General features: G+C 44.7%; 1 protein-coding gene across 11 annotated transcripts in view; it reads right to left on the bottom strand.

Annotated features, from left to right (window-relative positions):
- The window catches only part of IL1R2 (interleukin 1 receptor type 2), a 36,585-nt gene extending 11,455 nt beyond the window's left edge, over positions 1-25,130 (bottom strand). For 4 of the 11 annotated variants that reach the window (XR_923024.3, XM_011511801.3, XM_047445800.1 and 1 more), the window contains exons 1-4: positions 10,498-10,616; positions 8,448-8,575; positions 7,264-7,528; positions 1,039-1,219 (exon numbers count right to left, since the gene is read on the bottom strand). Coding sequence is in view for 9 of the 11 variants with exons in the window: in XM_011511801.3 (XP_011510103.1) it covers positions 1,039-1,219; positions 7,264-7,528; positions 8,448-8,575; positions 10,498-10,565 (642 nt within the window). In the remaining 2 variants the exon portion in view is untranslated. Of the gene's footprint in view, positions 1-1,038; positions 1,220-7,263; positions 7,529-8,447; positions 8,576-10,497; positions 10,617-15,062; positions 15,119-16,766; positions 17,927-17,973; positions 18,130-25,056 lie in introns of those variants that run through there. The other 7 variants (NM_004633.4, NM_001261419.2, NR_048564.2 and 4 more) reach the window with 6 other exon arrangements.
- Positions 25,131-27,170: the final 2,040 nt, after the last annotated feature.

Below are 27,170 nucleotides of genomic sequence, written 5' to 3'. Positions count from 1 at the left end.
TTAATATGTCTATAAAATTGTTATGTAAGCTTTTTTCTACATTTTTGTAGACAAATTACAGTAAAAAGTTATTTCCTTCAGCTGTTATGTACTCTGTCTTCACAAATCACTATTTCAAGTACCTTTACTCAACCCACATAAGGACTAATAGAACATATTAATTACGGCCCTTTTAAATTCTTTAAAATACAGTCATCCCTCAGTTTCTTTGGGGGATTGGTTTCAGCAAACATTCCCCACAGGTGCCAAAACACAGATGCGTAAGTGGTTTATATAAAGGGGTGTCATCTTTGCATATAACCTACGGATATCCTCCCATATACTTTAAATCATCTCTAGATTACTTGTAGATTACTAATACAATGTAAATGCCCTGTGTAAATACAGTCATGTGTCACTTAACAATGGGATAATTCTGAGAAACAGTTTAAGTGATTTCTTTGTTGTGTGAACGTCATAGAGAGTACTCGCACAGGCCTAGATGGTAGAGCCTCCTACACACCTAAGTGACATGATACAGCCTGCTGCTCCTAGGCGACAAACCTGTACAGCATGTTACTGTCCTGAATACTGTAGGCAATTGGAGCACAGTGGTCAGTTTTTGTACATATAAACATATCTAAACATAGAAAAGGTAATATTTTGCACTATGATGTTGAGACAGCTATGATGTCACTAGGCAATAGAAATTTCTCAGCTCCATTATAATCTTACAAGACCACCATTGTACATGCAGCCTACTGTTGACTGAAACTTTGTCATGCAGCATGTGACAGTAGATGATGCACTGTGTTGGTTTCTTATTTGTATTATTTGTATTGTACTGTTATTTTATTTGTTTATTTGTTTATATTTTCAATCCCAGGTTGGTTGAATCCCAGGATGTGGAACTCACAGATATGAAAGGCAAACCATGTGTGTGTTTGTGCGTGTGTGTGTGTGCACTGTCTTCAGAAAATCGATATTTTAAGTCTTTCTTTTATGGCTAGTAAAAAAAGAAAACACATTTTAGTAAAATGGCATTTTTTAAAGCCGTACCTTGTACCATTGAATCTTCACGTCAGTTTTGTCACGGGTGAATTCACTCAGGTCAGGGCATACTAATACCCCAGAGGTTGACAAGGTTAAAATTTGCGGGTATGAGATGAACGGCAGGAAAGCATCTGTATTCTCAAAAACTCTGAGCTCAATGGACATTTTGTCACAGTAAGAAGCATTTCTGATTTAAAAGGGAAAAAAAAGATAAATGGCAAGGCAAAATAAAAGTAAAGCTAAATGAAATTAAGCATCATTTCCCCAACTCTATTAAAATCTGCATCTGCATTTTCTGGATTAGTACAGATGGTTTCCCGACATAAGATGGTTCAACTTAGGATTTTTTGACTTTACAATGCTGCAAACACAACAAGCATTCAATAGAAACCCTACTTCAGTATAGTATTCAATAAATCACATGAGATATTCAACGCTTTATTACAAAATACGTTTTGTGTTAGATGACTTTGCCCAGCTGTAGGCTAATGTAAGCATTCTCAGCCCATTTAAGGAAGACTAGGCTAAGTTGTGATGTTGGGTAAGTTAAGTGTTAAGTGGTAAGTTAAGTGACAACGCTATTTCCAACTTACAATGGGTTTATTGGTATTTACCCCATTGTAAGTCGAGGAACATCTATATTGCAATACTTCTGTCCCTGATCTTTTCGAACACTTGGGGGGCAACAAGTGTCGTAACATAATTGTACAGAAAAAGCATATTCTGTGTTTTTCACAAAGGACTGTCTACAAGCCCGATTCTAATGCCACCAAGGTTCATTAAGAAATCCCCAAGTCCTCTTCAAAAGGGCTTATGCCTTCCAGGTTCTGGAGCTCCTTGAGCCCAGCCCCCGCATACTCCAACTTCATGATCCAGGAAACCATATCCACATGCAGAGATTGTTTCCCAAGAGCCATTGTTTCCGTAAAAAGGAATATTCCCTTTGCTCCTTTGGGGAATGATTTACCAACTGAAGTCTAGTTTTAGAAAACTGCTGGAAACTTAGTGTAAGACCCATAAAAGATTTTTGTAATACTGCATGGGGAAATTAACTTGGTAAGTTTGCTTTATTATTATATGATTATTATTATTATTATTATTATTATTATTTTACTAGCCTAATCATTATTTCACTGCCATAATTCTATCAAGACCTTAGAGCTGGAAAAAGGGAAGAGGAAAACCTTGCTGGAAACTTGTGGGAAATGGATGGAGGACAGAAAACAGTAATTAAAACTACTCTTTTAAGTAGAAAAATATAAAAATATAATTATCTCAGCTAAATTTCTGGCTACCTAAAACACATGAGACTTTGACAGAGACAATAAGGACGAGTTTTACATATAGGGGTAAAAATTACTTGCACAGCAAAATCTAAACCATCCATATCCAAACAAGTAACAAAATGTAAAAAAAAGGTGAAAGAAATGTGATAAAAGCTTACCACTTGAAAGTAAGAAGAATTAATTTAAATATATGAAGCCAATATCTGTTTATATTTAGCTTAAAAAGGGAAAATAGATGAACAAATATTATATTTTGTGCATAAAGAAATACAGAATGTTAACTCTCACCTTGAAAAATGCGTAATGTCACTACATGTTGAATAAAGGCAACTGAGGACAAATCTAAAGACCTGGGCCTACTTGAGTAACAGTCACACAGCAGGTAGCCAGCAGCGAGTAGATGCAGGCCAGACCCTGTGCTGTGTACTTTGCACACGTTATTTCACTTATAGTCCAGCCCCCATGAAGTAGGAATTACTATTATATCATTTTTATATGAAAAAGGTAGGTGTACAGAAATTAAGTGGGCTGTACAGCTACAAAGAGGTCAAACCAAAATGGGAAGCCCAGCAAGGCTCTGGGAAAACCCATAAATCTATCTTCAGTACCCATAAGTACTATCTTCAGAAACCAAGCTTAGTAGACATATTGAAAGTTACAAGGCTGTTCACATTATTGATCTGGTAATTCCCCTTGAGCAAGAAACTTCATAAAAATAACTCAAAAGAAAGAGAAGGGTGAGGGGCAATTTGATCACCACTTGCACTCCCCATGTAGTGTGGCACCCCCATGGCAAAGGCGTGATAGTCATTCGTAGTGCTGCTCACCAAATAGGCCCAGTTCTCCCTATTCTGAGCACATGGTGTATCACATGTCCTCGTCCCCACTGTGGGGACTCTTCCTAGCTCATGAGTTATATGTGTGGCCCTTCTACATGAAAGTTGTAACAGCCATGAGAGACCCTCCAAAGCAGGCTTCCTGCTCTAGCAACCAACCAATAACATTTGAAATAGTGACTGTGACTGCTCCTTCAGCCTAAGTCCCTAACTGTCTGCAAACCCACAATGGACCTGTTGCATGTGTAAGAAATAAGCCCTTGTTATTTTAAGCCACTGAGATTTAGGAGCTATTTGTTACAGCAGCATAACCTTGACTGCCTACTCTTTCTCTTTTTTTTTTTTTTTCTTTTTCTTTTCCTTCTTTTCTTTTCTTTCTTTCCTTTTTTTTTTTTTTTTTTTTTTTTTTTTGCAGTGATAGAAAGTAAGGCATTTATTTGCAGAGCACCAAGCAAGGAGGCCCAGGCAGCTACTGCTCAAATCTTGGCCTCTCTGATGGCTTGCATCCTTGCCTACTCTGACTCACCACGTGGTTCTAGATCACAAGGTCTTAAACAATCATGAGAACAGGGCAGTCTCTTGCCTCATGACTATCAACGCTAAAGAGTATTATGGCAACTGCTGGTGATTCTCACTCAATTAGAATCCCAATCTTACAGTTGACAAAGAGTATTAAAGGTCAGCCAGGTAAACCTTCCCATCATGCAAAGAAAGTTTGACATACACTGGGATTTCCACTGCCCCCTCAATCTCAGCTTTTTTTTTCCTACAAAAATTGATCATAAAAGCAAACTTTAAGACAAACAGAACTCAGCTCACATCTCCCTGATTTTTGCACAGTCTCACTTTCAGTAGTCATGAGGATTGCCTTTTGGGAAGGAGAGGGAATTTTTATGTATATATTGACCACCTACCATGGCAGACCCCACGCTAGTTCCTTCACATTCTGTGATCTCACATAACCCTCTCAACAAACTTCTTTACAGGAAAACTAACACCCATAAAAGTCAAGTGATAAGCCCAAGGTCCCACCAGATAGGAAATGAGAGAGCTAAGATTCCCATCTTTCTTTCTGACTTCAGGTTTCATGTTTTCTTACTATGCTATGAAGTTTTCCTAGTAGTACTCCTTAGAGAAAATTAGAATTTTTACTGTGGAAAAGAAAGAAGAAATATGCATTTATAGCTATTGTAAAACCAGGCATCCACATTTTCCTAGCATAAGAATAGAAGATGGTTTGCCTGCTTCTTAGGCAAGGTTCATTGACAGGATTAAACCTGTCCCTAAATTGCTTATAGTTGGGGCTAGACATATGGATGGTAGTGTCAAGCTGGGTTTAATTTGAAAAGATTCTTAATTTCACACATGCACGCACATGCACACACACACACACACACAGAGGGCACCCTCTACCTCATATCTCCTCCCACCCCCCACATACCCTGCCACACACACACCCAGCCTAGGACTGGGGATGACGTGGTCTGAAATTTTTCCATTCACCAGTACTTCCACTGTGCTAAGAATCTCACTTCTCCGGTTCTTTTTCTAAATGTACATATTCCTGGGTACAGTCCTTCTTAAGTCAAATGAGTTTATGAAATCTGGAGACTCTGAAGCCAGCTGGTGGAAGGAGCAAGCAGTGCCTTTGGAGGAACAGAAGAAGCAGCTGAAGAGAGAGGCCAAAACACTAGTTCCCAATCAAGCCAAAGGTTGTCTTAGTTCAGAAGAACAAAGCCAAGGAAGTTTTTATTGGAGGAACAGATGAAGCAGCTGAAGAGAGAGGCCAAAACACTAGTTCCCAATCAAGCTGAGGGTTGTCCTAGTTCAGAAGAACGAAGCCAAGAAACTTTTTAAGATCACCAACACTAGGCCTAAAACTTCATCCATCAAGAAGGAGTAGGACATGTCAAGACCATTCAATGGGGAAAGGACAGTCTTTTCAGCAAATAGTACTGGAGAAAATGGATATCCACATGCAAAAGAATGAAGCAGGACCCTTACCTAACACCATATACAAAAATTAACTCAAAATGGATCAAAAAGCAAAAGAGCTAAAACTATAAAATTCTTAGAAGAAAACAAAGGGGAAAACCTTCATGACATTGGATTGGGCAATGATTTCTTAACACTAAAAGCACAGGCAACAAAAGAAAAAAATAGATAAACTGGACTTGATCAAAATTAAAACCTTTTGTGTAACAAATGACACTATGAACAGAATGAATATGCAACTTAGAGAACAGGAGAAAATATTTCTAACTATATATCTGATAAGGCAAGGGGTTAATAACCAGGAAATGTAAAGAACTCCTACAACTCAACAACAACAGCAAAATGCAGTTTTTAAAATGGGCAAAGGACTTAGAGTCCATAAAGGAGATATGTCTGTGTCTCCAGCGAAGATGCACAGATGGTTAATAAGCACACAAAAAGATGCTCAGCATCGCTAATCATTAGGAACGTGGAAATCAAAGCCACAATGAGAGACCCCTTCACACCCATTAGGATGATTATTATCAAAAATAATAGAAAATAACATGTGTTGGTGAGTATGTAGAGAAATTGAGTGTCGGCACTGTTGTTGGGAATGAAAAATGGTACAGCCACTATGGAAAACAGTATGATAGTTCCTCAAAATTAAATATAGAATTAACAGATGATCCAGCAGTTCCTCTTTGGGGTCTATACCCAGAAGAACTGAAAGCAGAGATTTGAACAGATATCTTCACATCCATGTTCATATTGGATTCACAATAGCTGAAAGGAGGAAGCAAGTCAAGTGTCCCTGGATGGATAAATAGATAAACAAAATGTGGTACATACATAAAACGGAATAATAATATTCCACCTCATAAAGGAAGGAAACTCTGACTCATGCTACAACATGAACGAACCTTGAAAACACTATGCTAAGTGAAATAATTCAGTCACAGAAAGACTGATTTCACTTAAACGATTTAAACGAGGTACCTAGAGTCGTCAAAATCATAGAGTCGGAAAGTACAGTGGTGGTTGCCTGAGGCTGGAGGGAAGAAGAGAGGGGAGTTATTGTTTAATGGGTTCAGAGTTTCAGTTTGTGAGGATGAAAAACTCCTAAAGATGGATAATGGTGATGGTGCCACTGATCTGTACACTAAAAACTGTTTAAGATGATAAATTTTTTGTTATGTGTATTTTTTCTACAGTTAAAGGGGAAGAAAGCAACAGGACAAAGAGGGAGGAGGACTGGACCCAGGGTCAGGAGACTCGGGCTCCAGAGTCAGCTCTACCACGCACCACCTGGGGAACTTTCCAAGCCAGCTTGGTTCCCTCATCCTTACAACGAGCAGTTGGACTAATTTTTTTTTTTTTTTTTTTTAGACAGAGTCTCGCTCAGTCGCCCAGCCTGGAGCGCAGTGGCTCGATCTCCGCTCACTGCAAGCTCCATCTCCTGGGTTCACGCCATTCTCCTGCCTCAGCCTCCTGAGTAGCTGGGACTACAGGCGCCCGCCACCATGCCCAGCTAATTTTTTTGTATTTTTTTAGTAGAGACGGGGTTTCACTGTGTTAGCCAGGATGGTCGTGATCTCCTGACCTCGTGATCCACCCTCTTCGGCCGCCCAAAGTGTTGGACTAATTTAATCCTAAGGTCTCACCCAGCTCTAAAATCCTATTCAGAGTAAAATCCTATTCTATGTCTATTTCTTGGTTCCTTACCATGTGGCTTCAACAGTGAACAACATAGACCAAGTCCCTGCCCTTGCAGAGTTTACATTCTAATGGGTAGACAAACATTAAATACAGTAGCGCACACAAATGTGTCAGATGGGAAAATCTTATCGCAAGGAAACTACAGCAGGGTAAGGAGAGAGTGACAGAGGGCGGTGTCAGCTAAAATGGCTAGGGACGTTGTCTCCAAAGAGGTGGCATTTGAGCAAAGACTAAATGGAGACAGAATGAGACTGTAGGGTTGGGGGGGGTGTCAGGAACAGCAAACGGGATGCAATGTGGATTCACTGGATTTGTATTTTGTACACTGGATTCTGAGATCCGGATCATGACTGAAGACCCTCACAAGCCTCCATCCTGCCAGGATCCCCTCCCCAGCCCCGCACAGGGAGACTTACCTAGTAGTGCAGACGTAGGTGCCAGAGTCCTCCTGCAAGGCTGGCAGAAGCCACAGAGCACCGTCCTGGGCCCACATCCGTGTCTCTTCTTCTCCTGGGACCGTCCTAGCAGAGTCATTTTTATGCCATGTCAGGTTGATGCGGGGGCTGACAGAGGCCCACAACCAGTAGGGCACCTGGGGGCACCTCAGGGCTACAGGCTCCCCTTCCAGCCTGAACTCCCGCTTGTAATGCCTCCCACGAAACCGGCAGCTTCTGGCAGCCCCTGAAGGACAGAGAGCCCATGGTCAGGCTTTGGGTCCAAAACTTGCTCAGATCATAAAACCTCCCTGCACCTGGGACTGATCCTGATTCTGGCAGGGAAACCTGGAGCACATTTGAGAAAGATGTCATTTGTCCCTAACAAAAAGACCTACACCCTGGGGTACTATTAAACTCCCTCCCTACCCCGTTATTATACTTTCAAAATTTCCAAATAACAAGTTCAGTGCTACTATCCATTCCAACTTATGTTTTGTGAAGAAAGTTAAATCAGGTTTCTACGGTGACAAAAAATTAAAGATTAAAAACTATGGCCATAGTTTTCACTGGCTGATTTCTCATCATTAAAAGTAAATCTGAGCTGAGTTTAGATGGTAAAAGTTTAGTTCTGGCACGTCGTATGGTTAAACTCCAAAGGCAACTTTGTTAAGGGCAAACACGTCACTTCTTCAGTTTGCTCTTTGACAAGCACATTCGCACCATTCTTTCCTTTTCTTTTCTTTTTTCTTTTTTTTAATTTTTCCTTTTTTATTTTTTTGAGACAGGGTCTCACTCTGTTGCCCTGCTGGAGTGGAGTGATGCAATCTCCACTCACTGCAGCCTCAACCTCCCTGGGTTCAAGCACTCCTCTCACCTCAGCCTCCCAAGTAGCCAGGTCTACAGGCACGCACCACCACGCCCAACTACTTTTTTTTTTTTTTTTTTTGTAGAGACGTGGGTCTCTCTATGTTGCCCAAACTGGTCTCAAACTCCTGGGCTCAAGCAATCCACCCGCCTAGGGCTCTCAAGTACTAACATTACAGCCGGCAGCCACCGAGCTCGGCCCACACTTTGCTTTCTGACAAGGAAACTTCTCTAGATAACATCTTTCCCCAGCGAAGCTACAGGCAAGCCTTTTTGCATCTGAAAGGTTTACTTCTAACCTGTGTGTGCCGCAGGCTGAAGGGTGAAGGCAGAAACTCCCATTACCAACACGTACAAGCGCAACATTGCTCCTGACAACTTCCAGAGGACACGGGAAGTGGAGGACTGAGACCCAGCAGCACGTGGCCTAGGGGAGGAAACAGAGGTGTCACCAGGAACCAAGAACCCTGCAGAGAGAATCCCTTGAAGACGGGGTAGGGGCAGGGTCTGGAAGCTTCACTGGATAATGGGAACCTTTTGGCCTACTCTGTTTAAGAACAAAACTCAAAATTTTTGGATTTGTTTCTCTGCAGCTATATTCACTGAACATATCTAAAGTCGAATCCTTGTAGCACCTAGAGGCGTGCTTGGCAGAGGGGCTCTGCCCCATAAGCTGCTGTCTCTGCAGAGACCTCCCTTAGCCATTCCTGCGCCTTGGCCAGAGATGCTGCTTCCTCAGCTAAGGCCACTGCCAGTGCCCTTTCTGCTCGGACTTCACTTTCTTCGTGAGGTCTCCCTCACCTCCCTATCTAAAATTGCACCACCTTTAATCCCAATACTCCATGTTTTCCTTCCCTTCCCTGTCATTCTCTGTGGCATTCATCATCAGCCTTGTCTCCCCTCTCCAGAATTCAGGCTCCACTGATGGAAGGACTGTGAAAGGAAAATAAAAACTTGGGACCCCCAATTCACTCTGCCAAAAGGAAAAAAATAAGCTGAAGTCTGAGTCCTGCAAGAAGCTGCCTTTCCTTTTGTTCCTAAGCAGAGAGCGTACAGATAAAAGATTTTAAAAATTCTCCACAGGTAGCCACTCTATGTTTACCTTATCATATGTGAAGAGCAGATTTACTGAGTATAAGAGGAATATAATTGACTATTCCCTACCTATTTCTTTTCCCTTGCAACACATGGATTCAGTAATGACTGCACCCTCCCTCTCTGCCCTCCAGCCTGCTTTTCAATAGGGGAAAAACTTTACATATTGAAGCCCTCAAAATCATCTTTGGAGAAAGGCACAGACCACAGACTGCTTTTTCTGTGATTCCATGTTTTTTCTCCTGGGCATTGTCCTTAATCTTGGCAAAATAAGCTTCTAAATTATTAAGACTGTCAGATACTTTTTGGTTGACAGAACCCTGCTTTATCTTATTCACAGTTCTGTCCCTAACTCTCATTTTTTGAATGAATGAATGAGTGAGTTAATGGATCACTCAAAGCCCAAGAGTCCTCATATTTCACTTGTCAGAGAGTTTTCCCTATATCCCCTACGGATTAACTCCTGTTTTACATACAACTCTGACATGCGCCAAGAGATTTGGTGTCCTGCTAACACTCTGGTCTACAGCATCCCAGGGAGAAAAGCAACAAGAAATCCAAAACAGAAATAGCTTGTACAAGTTTATGAAGCAGTCCTCCCCCATGCCCCCCAAAGACTGGAGTGTCAGATGCCCTCCTCGTCTCCCTGATGACCTTCTCACACTATCACAAGTGTTCCCTGTGTCTGCTAACCACGGCCACAACGATGCTGCTTAACAAACCAACGACCCCAGAACTGAATGGTGTGAAACAACGGTCGTTCACTCTTGCTCACAAGTCTGTGGGCAAGATGGAAGTTGGTTAACCTAAACTTGGCAGGGTTAGGCCTGGCTCTGAGCGGCAGATGGGGTCCAAGTCTGCTCCATGGGTGTCTCATCCTCCTTGGACCAGTAAGCTTCCTGGGAGATGATCCTCTTTGGGGATGGCGAAACTGGAAACGATGCGGCCAAAAGCACACACGAGGCCACACTGGGAACTAACTCACTCTTGTCTGCTCACATTCCATCCGACACAGCAAGTCAATGCCCCACCCGGCCATCGGCAGGGCCGGAAGTGGGAGCAGTCGTGCCAGCTGCCATGCCTGACTCTTCTGGCTCCGCAAGGATGGTGACAACCTTGGGGCAGAGCCCTGGTCTTGCTCACAGCCCTCATGGCCCACACACTAGAACATACCGGGGAATACTTATGACTAAAAGCCTGCCCACGGCAGGAGTTGTGAATGAATCCAGGGGAAAAATTCCCAGCCACTTTTACCTTGAGTTGTTCCCTGCTCCTTGCACAGATATCTCTGGGAATGACTTGCAGTAAATCCAGGGCGGCATTGCGGCATTGAGGAACCGACCCTCGCACTCCAGAAACCCTCCCTCGTGAGTGGGGAACCCTGAGTCCAAGGACTCAGAGTTACAGTCTGAGCTCCCCCTTCTGGTGACCTGAGATATTCCCCTTAGCTATGTATCTAGCCTGGAGCTTTCTCCCTTAAACTCTGTTTCTACACAATACTATTCTTCACGAGTTTCTGAAGCACAAATAGTTCCTGTGACTTTACCCCTAACCATACTGTCAGGTTTGCCAGATGAAGGTCACATAAACATCCACCAAGCTGCTGTGTCCTCCTTGGACACGCATTAGCTTATCACATCCCCAACTATACTGGTCCAAGCCAGACTCATTAGTGCACCATTAGAACATGAAAGAAGTAGGAATTTAAATACACTGTAGCTAACCAATACCATATATCAGGATAAGTAAATGAAGTCAAAGCTGGTGTTTTAGGGACTAGTGTATAACAATAGCTATTGTGCCAAATATTGAACATTCATTCTTGCATTTTATCCCCACAAACTGAGTATCATGCTGATTTTACAGAGGATGTATTATAAGAGTTTAAAGGGGTTAAAAGGCCTGGCCGAGATCTTACAGCTAGTAAGCAGATGTTGAAATTTAAACCCAGCACTGGTGATTCCAAAGCCCTTGCTCTTTGAAAATACACCTTCTATGACAGATGCTGCTAGTTTCTTCTCCCAATATCTGTCCTCCCTGCTTTCCCAATAATAGAACCCCCGAATCTTACCTGGGCACATGGCCCTCTATACACAGACATTTCCCATCATATCCCTTGCAACAAGGAGTGGCCATGTGACAAAATGTGGATCAATGAGATGTAAGTGGAAGTGTCATGTGATCCCCCTGGGAGGTCTCCACTAATCTTCCTTCCTGCTGCTCAGTGTGGATGTGGTGGCTGGATTGTGGCCACTACCATGAACTACAAGGTACAGACCACTCACTGAATGCAATAGGGCAGTAAGAGGGGAACCTGAGTCCTTGGTGGCTTCGTGAAGCCGCCCACCACCCTGGACTACCTTTTTTATGTGTCCAGGCTTTCTGTCACGCACAGCCAAGCCTATTCCCAATATATTGTTTTTCCAGAGTTTATAAAAAGATCCCAGGGGAAGGAGCCCTGCCAGGTACTGTCAGGCATTGTGTTCTCACAGTCTTCTTTCTGATACTCAACTATTTCAGGTAAACAGTTTCTGCTGGTTGACTCTAAAAGTCACTTTGACTCAAAGTCAGGAGCTGACGTGCAGCCTCCCCTCAAATGAAAGGGCCCCACCATGCTCACATTCTCTCAGGGTCAGGCTTACGGGAATTATGGGAAGGTTTGTAACCATGTTTAAAATTACTTTGACACCAGAAATCCAGGCTGTGCCATTCAGGATCAGTCAGTAGCTAACGCTTCACAGAGCTATGGAGCTGAAGAGTCTTTGAGAAATCTAATCAAGTCTCTTCTTTCTACAGGTAAAGTGAGTTTCAAGTTAACTCTCTTCTTCAAATGATATGGCTGGATGGGTGAGAAGAAGTGTTTCAACAAGGATCCTGTTCCAGTAGAACGAATCCTAAAATGCTGTCCTCCTCCAGTAACTGCTAGCCTCATCTACCCCCACCACCATCTCCAGCCAAGGGAATTGTCTTGGTTTCTCTCCCTGGACTTGAGCAAAAGAGCTGCTTTACTGTGACTTCTCTAGGATGTGGCTGCAGACAAGTAAACCACAAACACATAGTAGTGACAGTTTTCAATAATCAAAACCTCAGAAAAAGGTTGGAACCAAAATTGCTGTAGCGTGGGAAACAGTAAATCTTTGGCAGGCCCAGAGGGGAAAACAAATTAGTTTTGCAGAAGTTTGCAGCAAAACACTATTCTCCTGGCCTACTTTCTTTAAATGAGTTTTTAAATCACAGACAACTTGACATTTCTGCTGGAATCTGAGTTGACCTTCTTACTGGAAGAAAGAAATTTCAAGGGCAGCTCCTTCCAAGTATTTGAGTTAGAATTCTATCTTTTTTTTTTTTTTTTTTGTCAAATAACCATGTTTCACCACATTCAACATAAGAAAACAGAGGCATATGATGAAAAACAGGACCAGGCATAAGAAAAAGACAAAAATGTGTGAAGTGTGAAAGGAAGGAAAAAGAATGCTGGAAGGTAGAAAGAGCTGATGCACAGCCCTGAGTTGGACAGGTGGTAGAGCACGCACTGAGGCCCAGGTAACCGTTACCTGCCTTTGATTCCCAGGTGTCTGCAGCTTCTGGTCATAGACAGTACATATAGCCTAAAAGGATGTAAGTGCTTACTCCACCTTTTCATTTAATTTTTAAAAATTACAAAAAGACTGAAAAGTTGAAAGCATAGTATGACAAATGCAAGTATATATTTCAGTAGATTCGCCATTGTTAACATTTTGCTGCATTCGCTTTATTCTCACTCTCCCTCTTCTTCTCTTTCTATTTACACACAGGCACATAGACATAGACATAGACATAGACATAGACATAGACATAGACATAGACATAGACATAGACCCAGACCGAGACCAAGACCTAGACCTAGACACAGACACAGACACAGACCTAGACCTAGACCTAGACATACACATAGACACAGACAGAGACACAGACACAGACACAAACACAACCACAGACACAGCCACAGACACAGCCACAGACACAGACACAGACACAGACACAGACACAGACACAGCACAGCCACAGACACAGACACAGAGAGATATACACGTAGACATAGACCTAGACACAGACACAGACACCGACATGGGACACAGACAGGGGACAAAGACACAGACATAGACATAGGCCTAGACACCGACACAGACACCGACACAGACACAGCCACAGCCACAGCCAGACACAGACACAGACATGGGACACAGACAGGGGACAAAGACACAGACATAGACATAGGCCTAGACACCGACACAGACACCGACACAGACACAGCCACAGCCACAGCCAGACACAGACACAGACATGGGACACAGACAGGGGACAAAGACACAGACATAGACATAGGCCTAGACACCGACACAGACACAGCCACAGCCACAGCCAGACACAGACACAGACATGGGACACAGACAGGGGACAAAGACACAGACATAGACATAGGCCTAGACACTGACACAGACACCGACACAGACACAGACACAGCCACAGCCAGACACAGACACAGACATGGGACACAGACAGGGGACAAAGACACAGACATAGACATAGGCCTAGACACTGACACAGACACCGACACAGACACAGACACAGCCACAGCCAGACACAGACACAGATATAGACATAGACATAGACACAGACAGAGACACAGACACAGACATAGACACAGACAGAGACACAGACACAGACATAGACACAGACAGAGACACAGACACAGACATAGACACAGACATAGACACAGACACGGACACAGCCACAGCCAGACACAGACACAGATATAGACATAGGCATAGACACAGACACAGACAGAGACACAGACACAGACATAGACATAGACACCGACACAGACACAGACACAAACACAGACACAGACATAGGCACAGACACAGACACAGACAGAGATATACATGTAGACATAGACCTAGACATAGACCCAGGCAGAGACACAGACACAGACACAGACCTAGACCTAGACACAGACATAGACACAGACACAGACAGGGACAAAGACACAGACATAGACATAGATATAGATACAGATATAGATATAGATATAGATATAGATATAGATATAGATATAGACATAGACATAGACATAGGCATAGGCATAGACATAGACATAGACCTAGACATAGACTTAGACACAGACCTAGACCTAGACTTAGACATAGACATAGACACAGACACCAACACAGACACAGACATAGACATTTATACAGACATAGACACAGACACAGACGCAGACATAAACTGAGACCTAGATTAGACATACACATAGACATAGACACAGACCTAGACCTAGACCTACACATAGACACAGACACAGACACGGACACAGACACAGACACAGACACAGACACAGACAGAGACATAGACACAGACACAGATAGGGGACAAAGTCACAGACATAGACATAGACATAGACACAGACACAGACCTAGACCTAGACTTAGACATACACACAGACACAGACACAGACACACCCGCAGACACAGACACACAGACACAGACACAGACACAGACACAGACACAGACACACAGACACAGACATAGACATAGACATATTTTCTCCTGGAACACCTGAAAGTTGCAGACATCATCAAACTTCACCTCTGAATACTTCAGAATACATGCAGGAATACATTTTTTTAACAGATTGAGAAACTAGTAAGTAAACGATAGCTCCAGAAAGGAATTTTCCAGCATGTAGAAGGAGTAACAATTTTTTTTGATAATATATTTGAATATATCTGGACTGAATTCACCTAGAAGATGAAACTCTTCTCTATTTCTATCATTACCTTGTTCCCAGAAGTTTTTAGGCAACTGTCTCATCTCTGAGTCAGGTGGCACAGTCATTCAAAGAACAAAAACACGGTGGCAGGTGCTGAATGTTAATGAAGTCACATAGCTATCAGGCTTTACACCTATCACTGAGTCACTTCTAGTGTGTAAAATGAATTCCTAGGAGCCCGAACATGTTTTACGCATGTCGTATAAATTCTTTGAAACCCATGAGGAAATAAATATTTACATCAAAATTAACCTGGAAATTTTTTATAAATTCAAAGGTGAAACAATATAGAATGTATTTTTTAACTAAGCCCTAGGAAATAACAGAATTTTAAGAGGGAAGACTTTCTAGACTCAGATACAGAGAAATACATGACCAGGTTTCAGTCAGCTTTTATTGAAAAATGTGCTGGCTCAAAACAAAAACCTAGATGAGTTGTCCAGAAACTGCTTTTGTTCTATAGGAAAGAAAAAAGCTAGACAAGGAATGAGCTTCCAAGCAGCAGGCTGAGACTGTTCCTGGTCTGCATAGCTGTGTCAGAATGATAGCTGGCGATGTCCTGGACACTAGCCTCCCATCCCTGGTGGGGTCTGGTGAGACAGATCACTTCCTGGAGGCCACGTTGCAGGGAGACCCATCTTTGGCAGAATAGGGCATTAGGCCACATTGGGCTGAATCTCAGAGGAGCAAATCGGCAGAAACTGATACAGATGGTTCCACCAAGGCATAGGCGCTCTCTTTATACTGTCTGCCAGCAAACATCCCTTCTCGCTAAAACCACCACTGAAGTGTCTCTTAGTCAGTGGTTCTTGGGACAGAAGTTGGTCAAGTTCAGTCAACCAACTCAACTCATGTTTTCGCTCATTCAAATCCTGTATCAACATTCCATTCCCTGTGAGTCTGGGTCATTCCAAGCCCCCAGCAGGCTGGACCATCAACAAACACTTGCTTCACCTGCCTCCTGCATTAGACCCTGCCCTGACTGACACCCAGCAAGACCACTCCTCTAGCCTGGAACAGTTACCATCCTCCTCCAAAATGACTGATGAGGAAGCTCTACCTGTGAGGCCCTAGGCATCTGCAGGGCAAACCCACAGGCTTCAAATTCTCCCAGCCTGGTATTTGTGTAAGAGGAATGCACTACCCTGAACAACTCCAGAGGACAAAACTCATGAGTCTGGTAGAGCTCAGCATCCCCATTATAAACACGGAGCAATGGAAATAGACTTGGGTACATTAAGTCACTTGTCCAAGGTCACAGAGCTAAGGAATGACAAATAGGATGTAAACCCAAGCCTACACAATCCTTGGTTTTGGCACTCGTTCTCTGCTCTGTAAAAGCATCAACACCTGGAGCTAGAGGGGCCTCCAGAAGCCATTAAGTCTATCTGCCCACCCAAACAGTCTTCTGAAACCCAGCATCCTCTATAGAAGACAAGCTTACCCCATCACGAGATGCACACTGCCAGTCTTGGGAAGTATCCATAATTAGAAATGTCTGCCATTTTGGATCCCAAAATTTCCTCCCTCTTAACTTCATTTATTAGTCATATTCGACCCTGTGGGGAAGCTCCAAAGAAGTCTGTCTACACCTTCCAATAACTTTGAGAGTTAGAAAGTGTATACAGAAGAGCACAGTGTACCTGGACAGAGAAGTGGGAATCCTGCCTTCCTTCCTGCCAGCAGCAGGGTGGTGGGCAGGTTACATTACCTGTGTGAGGCTCAGTCTCCTCATCTGTGAAATGGGCATACCCTGGTGTGCACTACAGGAGGAGTAGATGTCACACCATATGTAATGAGCTCAGCAGTGCTGCAAAAAGAAAGTGTTCAACAAGCAGTAGCTCTCATCAGTGTTTTACAGAAGCAGAGCCCGGTACTCAGGGAGATAAGGAGCTTGCTCAAGGACACAGTTGGAAGACGTGATGAGAAATCAGCCCTTCCACCATCTGCATTCTGCCGAATTCCTGCTAAGCGACCATTCCACAGCCCAGCCTGAGAACTCGTCGGTATTGTAGTTGGCAACTTAGCTAACACCAGTTACTATACTAAAAATATGTACAACTTTACCTAATGGAATCCATAAGCCTAAATTCATAGATCCATATTATAGAACATATAAGTGTTCTATAAATATTTACTTTATAAAATACACAATATAAATGTTGCGTGCTTAACATATAAACACACAATTCTAAATACATACAGATGCATACACACGTATACATCTTCAAGGCTGCCAGGAATTCTAAGGTTTTTATCTCAGTGACAGCATATGGAGCTGGAGGTTGGAACTGGGTTCCTGTCTTCACTCTACCATTAACTAACTATGTGATCTTAGGCAAACACATAGTCATTTGCTCAATCTCTGAGTCACAGTTTCTTCACCTCTAAAATACAGAGGTTGGGCTGGTGAGACCTCCCAGGTCTCTTGCAGGTCTAAAACCCTGGAACTCTAAGTCAATCTGGATTTGAGCTTAGGCCTCCTCAGTCCTAGATACAGCTTCAGTTTCTAAAGCATCGAGTCATAGCAGACAACCACTGAACTCAGTCAACTCTCTTGCCGAAGTCCCCATGGCCACCAACGGCAGAGCCACAACTCGGGACTTCTGAGGTCTCCTGGGAACTGGACTTCCAGCTCTGCTGGGCTACCTGCTGGATAAAGTTAATTAGTAACTGGAAGCTCTGGCATTAGAGCAGCGGTTGGTTGTTAACAGACATACACCCTTAAAACAAATTTTGCTTTCTGTCTTATAATCTGAGTGTGGGAAACACCTAAAATATTTGAGTAATCAGTCATCCAGAAAACCTGCCCATCTAAAATAAGACAAAGACAGAAGAAACAAGGACAGGAAGATCTGAGTAGGGGAAAGACAGCCAATCAGATCCTGGTACAAAGGCATGTAGCATATTTCACTCACAGAAGCAGCTTTAAAGTCTTCCTTCAGAAGCTCTTTCTGTTGATTTGTATGAGCGTCACTAGTTTTTAAGAGTAGCAGAATGTATTTTCCAGAGGTGACCACAACAGTATCTCCCATCCCACATGGTCTTCTAGAATGTGACTGTGCCACTCTGCCACCAAGAGGTGGAGTCTAACTCACCTCCCTTGAATGTGGGCTGGCCTGTAACTTGGTGTAACCAATACAATGCAGCAGAAGTGATGCTGTGTGAACTCTTGAGCTAGATCAGAAAAATCCATGCAGCCTCCACCTGGTTTCCAAGGGGTGCTTGCTTCTGCCTGGCTTCCTTGGAAAGTCAGCCACCACGAAGACAGTCCAACTGCCCTGAGACCACCTTGCTAGGGAGGCCACATGTAGGGCATTGGTTGACAATCCTAGCTATGCTCAGCCTCCCAGGAACCCTGCAAAGGCACCAGCCATGTAAGTGAAGCCATCGTGGACCCTCCAGATGAGTCCATTCACCAGCTGAGCACCACTGTTTGAACTCAATCAGACACATGGAGCAGAAGAATCACCTAGTTGAGCCCTCAAATTCGTGACATACAGAAACTAGGAGTTATCATAAAATAGTTGTCATTTTTAAGCCACTAAGTTTTGGGATAGTTTTTCATGCAACAACAGGTGAACAGAATGCTCAATCAAAAGCAGATTCCAGATGGCAAATTGGAAAGAGGGAGAAGGCTAGGAGAAGAAAACACACACTGAAAAAAGCGGCAGCTGATTGCCCAGTAACAGAGGAGACAGGAAAACCATTAAGGCAGGTGCGAGAACCAAAGCACACAGCCATTTCGGGATTTTAAGCGCAGACACCAGCAGTCCCTTCCATGTTACTGTGCCCTACTGAGTATATCAGGACATTAAAGCACAAAACAATTGATGCTCCTAATGATTTCCTTGAATCACAAAGAACAGTTTAAATTTTGTTCAAACTCCTCTTTCTCTAGGATGGGACAGTACATGCAACACAGACGCAATGAAGGTAATATTGCAATTACCTCCCAATGTGTTTTCCTCCTTGATATTCTGGATTCTTCTGCCACTACAGCCCCAGGAAAGGGAGAGAGCAAAGGCCTCCTCAGAAAGAGGAAAGGAAGTGAATATGATGCAGGGGAAGTTCCTTCCTGGTAGGAAGTGTCAGTAGAAGAAAAAGACCCTTTGGGCTCCAGGGCTAAAGGAGGGAAGGTACAAGAGGAATCAGGCAGGCAGTCCTGCTTCTTATTCTGGGTTTGAAACCTGAAGGCAAAGGGACAAGAGGTAAAAGAGAGAGGGCTGGATGCAGAAGAATTTTTGCTCTGCTTCCAAGTTGCATCTCTGGAGGAATCCCACCTTGGTGAAGTAAGGGGCACTAAAGAAGAATGGAAATAATGGTGTGGCTGTTAGGTAAAGGGGTGCTTCACTGATGGGAGAGATTCAGACCTTCCCCTGCACTCCCAGGAGAGAATGGAAGGTAAACTGAGATCTGGGCTGAGATGGGGCTGCCATGATGAAAGACAAGATGACCTGTAGCCACAGCTTCAGGATATTCAGTGAGTAAGGAGCAGTGAGGCCAAGTGGGGGAAGACTGCCCCACCTCTTGGTAGATAACCACTTCCCCAAGGCCCTGAGCTCTCCACCTTCTGCTCCCTTGGCTTTCCTGGTGCTCCTCGGAGCTCTTCAGGTGCAGCAACAGGTGCTGTAGCATCTTTTCTGATGGGCTGGTACTCATGCCCTGCTGGTTGCTAAACATTTTGAGTATCACCTGGACAGTCTAAGCCACAGAAGAAACAAGGTCATGGCCAAGATGCAGAGAACCTGTGGAGCCAGGGAGAGGCACAGCGGGGTGACCTCGGATGGAGCACTGGCTCTGACAACTGAGGCACCAGACCTCGGGTTTTCCCAGTCACAGACGCCAGCAGTAGATTCCACAGGACACCTCATGACCAGGAAGGTCCAGGGACATCTCCACAGAAGCCAGTGCCTACCCCAGGTCAGCACGTGTGGATCAGCTGCCCACCACTCCCTGGGGACACAATGTCCCCCTCTTCTCAGGCTTCTTCCTGGCTAGAAGAAGGTGCTGGTGAGAAACTGGAAGAGTGAACATCTCCCCAAAAGAAACAAAATGAAAGCAAGAGAGGTAGATTTGAGCCGACTCAGACAGCAATACATGTAGCAGCAGGCTTAATTCCCCTGCCCTAGTGGGAAAGGGCCTTTAGAGCCAAATGAGATTCCTCCTGGCAAAGCTTTAAAGGTATCTTTTTGGCGTCAATTTGTAGTGAGTATATATATTATAGCAGTATATATTATATATGTGTATATACTGGGTCTGAGTATATAATACATATAATCAGTATATATATACACATATATATATACTCACTACTATATATACATATGTATGTTTTGGAAATATTTTCTTCCAAAGTTTTTAAGATGTCAAAACAGATGGGATTTTCTTTGTATGCTTTGAAAGATCATCTTCCACTCTCTGGAAAATGTGCCCACCTTGTCCTCTGAGGGGCACCAAGGGTGGCAATTGTCCCAAGCCCTGTGTCCAGGGTGTCCAAGTAACAAGAAGTCAGCCATTCTCCCCCCCAAAAAAAAAAAAAAAAAAAACACTGAAAACACCCAGGGATTTTTATCTCTACTGTGTGGGAAAATCTCTCACCCTCAGCAAAAGAAAACCTGATCTTCAACTTGAAGATAGCCCAGATTTGCTGGGTTTCCACAGACCAGACCCAAAAAGCCCCAGAGGAAACCTCTGGCTTGCCCTGGGTCTGTGGGCAAGTGTTCCATTTGCATTCTTAGCCCCTCCAGCTCCTCTCAGCTGTCAGATGCCTGGCCAGCTCGCTCCTTGGTGGCGGGAGCAGCTCTGTGAAGCTTGGTGAGCTGAAATCCTGCGTCCCTCCCTCCCACCCCAAATGAGCTAACTGGGTAACCCTACATGGTGGGTACACTCATGTTCACCAATATTCACTTCTCTGAACCCTTGAAGTCGGGCGGGGCACGTGACTGAGAAAAACAAGTGCCGATTCCAGGCCTGTGCATTTCACAGCTGGTGCTCTCTTGCCAGCTCTCTCCTGCATGGTGCAGGCTGAGCCCTTGTTCATCCATGCTGCCAGCACGGCACAGTCAAGCCATCTGGGCAGCAGGCTGAGGTCCTCCTGCATCCATCAATCCACTCACTTGCTCCTGCTATGCCTGCTTCTGCTTCTGATAAATAGGAATAATCTCCACCCTCCGGCACTTGTGTCAAAACAATGGGCGTCCCACTGCTGGTCTCCGTAAATTCTGTTTTGACAATGACCTGGGTCCCCGAGTGGCTCTGATGAGTCGTCATAGTCCAACGCAGTTAACCCATGACGATGCTGTAGCATGAGCAAGAAATCAGCTCATGTTGTATGAAGCTACTGAGGTCATTGCCACAGTACACCTTGGAGGGCAGGCACCACAATCAAAGTGAAGTATCAGGACCTTGTATTCATTTTCTATTGCCGTGTAACACACCAGCACAGACTCAGCCACTTAAAAACAACCGCATTGGTTAGCTCACATTGCTGTAGGTGAGATGTCTCTGCTCAGGGTCCCACCAGACTGAAATCAAGGTATCGTTTGGGCTGTGCTCCTTCCTGGAGCACAGGTTCCTGTTCCAAGCCCACAGGGCTATTATGACTGCAGGACTGAGCCCCCAATTTCTTCCTGGATAAGGCCACTCTCGGCTCCTACATGCCACCCATGTTTCCTGCCCTGAGGTCCTCTCTACACCAGGGCAGTTTGTTTCTTCAAGGCCAATGGAAAAAAAACAACATCTGCTGCTGCTTTAAGTCTCTGACCACTTGACACTGACCTCCTGATCCTCTTTTAAACAGCTCACCTGGTTATGTCAGGCCCACCCAGCACATGTAATCTTTTAAATAGCTCACCTGACTATGTCAGGCCCACCCAGCATGTGACCTTTTTTATTAACTTCAAGTCAACTGATTGAGAACCTAAATTACTTCCACAGAATTCCTTCACCCTTGTCACATAAAGTAACTTAATCATGGTAGTGATGTTCCATCTATTCACACATCCCACAAGGAGGGAATTATACAAGGGCATGGATCAGCCAGAGTCATCTTAGAATTCTGCCTACCACAGACATTTAAGAAAACATTCTCATGAATATTAGCTCTAGAAAATTTAGGATCCATCCAAAACTTTACACTAACTTCTTCCTTGCCCCCAAATAAGAAGACCTCTTCCCAGACTTTCTAAATCCTTTCTACTCAAAGTGTGGTCCATGGACCGGCAGCACAAACACCATTTATGAAAAATTCAGACCAAGAGAATCAGAATCAGCCACATATTCACAAGGCCTTCAGCCAAATATTCACAAGACCCTCAGGAGATGTGAAGGCACCATCTCAAAAGGCCCTTGTCCTGAGATAGCTCCCCCACAGGCTTGGCCCTGGACACGTCTCCTAAGGAAAGGGTTCTCAAAGTGTGGTCCCCTAGCACTGGTGTCAGCATCACCTGGACACTTATTAGAAATGCAGATTCTCAGGTCGCCAACCAGGACTTACTGAATCAGACATTCAGCCCTCTGCATTTTCATAAGCCCACCAGTGATTCTGATGCGGGCTCAAGTTTGAGAACCACTGGGCAAAGACACTGTCATGATCGAGTGTCTCCCCTATGGAAAGCCGTAATGAAAACATGAAAAAGCAACCCGAGTCTGCTCTGCTTCAGTCCTGTTGCTGCTAGAGGCCAACTCTGCTCTCCAGGGGGAGGGGAGGGGGGCTCGGGGTCCGTGGATGTTCTGGATCCCTCAGCTCTAATTGTCAAACAGGCTTTGGAGGTCGGGGTGGGAGTGGGGATGTAGAAGGGAACCCCTACTAGCAGGGCCGGGTAGGAGGCTCCCAGGCCAACTGAAGACCCCGGGAGAGAGGATAGCTGCCCTGAAACATTCAGCCGAGCTTCCTTCTTGCCTTTTAGGGTAACCAAGTACCAAAATACAATCCAAATGGACAAACTTCTAAATGAGGTTAGAAGAAAGGCACTCTCCCGTGTCTGTGCATGTGGTAATACCAAATGATCAGCTGGGCGGGAAGCCCACTGGCCTTGGGAGGGCAGAGCTGATGAAATGGGCATGGAAGAGGTGAGTGTGCAGGAGGTGGGATGGAGTGCAGAAAGGGGGCCGGCAGCTCCCACTGCAGCCATGCGGCGCTGGGAGGTTCCAGGAAGGTCTGGACATTTGGCTGCCTCTGCTCACACAAGAGAGAACTCAGGGCAATGTAGGGTCTTGACAAAGATCTTACAGCAGAGTTGTGGGTGGGGGTAGAGGAGTCCTGAAGGGCTCTAAGAAGAGCAAAGGCCCCCAAAAGGGAATGCAATTAAAGAGAAGGAGCTTCAAACAGCAAGAGCAAACTGTGTGCCATGATTTAAGAGAGACAGAGAGAGGAACAGAGATAGGGAGAAACAGAGACATAGAGAGAAGTAGAGACAGAAAGAGAGAAACAGAGACAGAGAGAGAGAGAGAAACAGGCAGACAGAGAGAAACAAAGACAGACAGAGAGATCTGGGAGTCAGGACACCTGAGTCTGTTTCTGTTGGAGCCTCAGGCAACTTTCCTGATTTCTCCAGAACTCAGGTGTCTGATCTGGGCCACCTTCCTCACTCATGACCTTCTTCCCCTGTGTGAGGGTGACCTTAAGTCCTGAGTGCTTGATACTACTTGGATTCATCGACTGTACTCCTCATCACCCTTGACCTTACTATTTGCAGGTGGAAATGGAGACCCTGAGCAGGTGAGCTGTCACGCAGCTCATCCCAGGCAAGCTGGACTCAGAACCCAGGCCAGTTCGCCTCTGGGGACACACCGCAGCCCTAACCACACTCTACTACCTCTCCCAGAAAACCACCCGAGAGCCAGGCATTAGAGAATCCACAGTGACTTTAGAATATCAAGCTTTTCACACCAGAAAATCTCATGAGGCTTCTAAGGAAGAAAGCCCTCCATTCAGTGCACATCCCACGTGCAGCCTCATGCGGTAGAAACGGGTCTCAGTGGTCCGCTATCTTGTGTTAGATTCCACTGCGATTTTACTTGTGGCCTAGAATCATGGAAGGTCCTTAGAAACCCCCTGATCCAGCCCCTCTTTTGACAGATAGAAAAACTGAGGCCCAGAAATATCAAGTAATGCTTCCAGCCACCTTCACACAGGTGAAGAAGGTCATGGGCAAGGAAGGTCACCCGGATCAGGTTCCTGAGGTCTGGAGAAATCCGGAGAGTCGCCTGAGCCTCCACCAGAAATGGACTCAGGTGTCCCGACTCCCAGATTTCTCTCTTCTGTCTCCGTCTCTCTCTCTCTGTCTCTGTGTTTCTCTCTGTCTTTCTCTCTCTGTCTCTATGTCTCTCCCTCTGTCTTGGTCTCTGTCTCTGTCTGCCTTTCTCTGTCTCTCCCCATCTCTGTCTCTCTGCCTCTCTCTGTCTCTCTGCCTCTCTCTGTCTCCCTCTATCTCTGTCTGTTTCTCTGCCTCTCTGTCTCTCTCCATCTCTGTCTCTCTGCCTCTCTCTGTCTCTCTCCATCTCTGTCTCTCTGCCTCTCTCTGTCTCTCTCCATCTCTGTCTCTCTGCCTCTCTCTGTCTCTCTGTCTGTCTCCGTCTCTCTACCTCTCTCTGTGTCTCTGTGTCTCTCTGCCTCTCTCTGTCTCTGTCTTTCTTTGTCTCTCTGTCTCTGTCTCTCTGCCTCTGTCTCTGTCTTTCTCTGTCTCTCTCTGTCTCCCTGCCTCTCTCTGTCTCTGTCTTTCTCTGTCTCTCTCTGTCTCTGTCTCTCTGCCTCTGTCTCTCTCTGTCTCTCTGCCTCTGCCTGTCTCTCTGCCTCTTTCTGTCTCTGTTTCTCTGCCTCTTTCTGTCTCTCTGCCTGTCTCTCCATCTCTCTCTCTTCTCTCTGCCTTCCCCCCTGCCTCTCTCTCTGCCTCTCTTTGCCTTTCCCTCTCTCTCTGCCTCCCTCTCTCTCTCTCTCTCTCTCTTTCTCTCTCTCTCTCCCTCTCTCTCTTTCTCTCTCTCTCTCCAAAGCCTCTTACCTGCAGCTCTGCATTCTCTCACCTTGTTGCTGCTCACCTGGGGAAGGCTGCCAGGCCAGACTTTCACCTCCAGCAGGAGCTCAGCAGTAAAGCAGGGATTTATACCCTCTTGGGAGCTGGGATTTCCTAACCGGGTGGTGTCACCCGCTCACACTGGGTGGCAGCGGACACACCTTTTCCTCCTCACGGGGAGCACCCCCAGGCTGCAGTGCTGGGTCTGAGTACATGATCACCCAGATGGGGAAGTGGCCAAGGAAACGCCGCATAAGTTTCCCTATTTTTCTGTGACTCGCTAAAAATTACGTACTTCCAGCCGAGAGGTGGTTTTAAAGTGATGGGCGTTTTGCCCAACTGTGGCCCCATTAAAGAGAAAAAGATGCTTTTGATCTTTAGCCAGTGGAAGAGTTGGTTTTCCATCCAAGGAACGCTTTTAGGATCTAAGAAAGGTTAAGTTTTTGTTTTGTTTTGTTTTCAGAGTCCTGTATGATTTTTAACTGTTAAGTGAAGGAGGGGGTTGGTTATCTAATTCCTTATTCTAGATTGTGGAGTTTGCAGAACTGAATAGTTTGTCTTCTGAAAGTGGGAATCCAGCATCAAGTCATGTCTGTACAAAACCAATGTCTCCTAAACCCCCTAACCAGCCCGAAGGTGTTGTTGGTTGCTCCTCTCTCCCATGCAAGTCGCCACCGTGGAGTTAGAGAGGATGAAGCCGAGTCAGGGTGCACCCGGTTTGCTCAGAGCCCGCGGATCTGAGAACTCATGGTCCTGGGCCTTCCTTCATATGAACAGGAGGCCAAATGGGAGCGTAAAACCTTGGCCACAGCCTCTCTGGAAAGCCAGGCTCCAGGGCTAGAACCCTCTTATCATCCCCTGCGACCTCTCGCCTATGTGCTCACTCATGTTGCATCGTTTAGGAAGAGGTGTAATTTGGAATCCCTTTGTTGGTGGTTGGAAAGGAAGAATGCTTTTCAAAATGTACTTTAAAACCCATGGCATTAACCTTCATAACACTGTCTGCCTGGTTTATGCAGATCTTCATTTTCTTACAAGTAAAGAGGCAGGTATAGAAACTCCTTTAGAGAAATCTTAGGGAATTCATACCCAGAACAAATGGCTAAGTCAGAAGGGCCCATGGGCCCTAGTTTTATCCTTTTGCTAACAAAGGATGGTAACTCTCGAAAGTCAAATCTCAACTGGTTAAATAAAATCTTAGAAAAATACAATGTTAGAGCTAGGTAGAAACTTAGAGATGGTCAAATTTGTCTTCCAGTTTAAAAAGAAGAGAAAACTGAAGTCCAGACATTTGAGGATGGGGAGCAAGGTGAGTAAGCTGTATTGATTTAATGGTGTGTATAACTTCACAATGGATGGATTCTTATGGAAACTGTTTGGAAACTGTGAATGCCCCAAAATGGAGTTTGTTGAGCAAAGGGTAAATGTTACATTATATCATGTTTATTCTTTTTAAGGACCATTAGAAGGTGAAATATTTGGGGCTTTTCCCATTATTTTGATGAGGCAAGATTGAAGAACAAAGCACAAATTTTGAGTCAAGCCTAGTAAGTTTCAAGGGTGGGAATTCATCCCAGTAGGAAAATCTCACCAAATACCATCATCATCCCAGGATACAGAACACGCCAATAATTGAGCCCCTGTCTCCACCCTCGCTCTGTGCTCAACTAAACACATCACCCCCAGCTGACCTGCCTCAATTAGGATTCGGTTCATTAAATAACACAGGAAGCCCACAGCTTAATTCAGCCAAAGAGAGGAAGCAAAACCATGCCATCTGCTCTTGGCCATGCTGGAGTTAACTGCTGATCTTGTGATCTATAAGGAGGAATTTACATAACCTCACTTCTTTCTATGGGAAAACTTGATCATAGAGTCACAAGAATTGCTTACATAGTCTTTTCAAGAACTAATGCTCAGACCCAACAGACACCCAAGAGTAAGTCCCCAGGCCTGCCGGAGCCTCATGGAGCCATGGCTACTTTACCCCTCCGCCCCGCTTCATGGCCCATGCTGCACTGTGTCCACCACCAATAGCACATTTGAATGGCTCGATTTCTCCACCAACTGATGGGAAACCCACAAGCACAGAATGTTCTGTA

The sequence above is a fragment of the Homo sapiens genome, chromosome 2, assembly GCF_000001405.40.
Source record: "Homo sapiens chromosome 2, GRCh38.p14 Primary Assembly".
NCBI classification, from domain to species: domain Eukaryota; kingdom Metazoa; phylum Chordata; class Mammalia; order Primates; family Hominidae; genus Homo; species Homo sapiens.
Note: the sequence above shows the minus strand (reverse complement) of the source record. Positions and strands in the feature narration are given on the sequence as shown.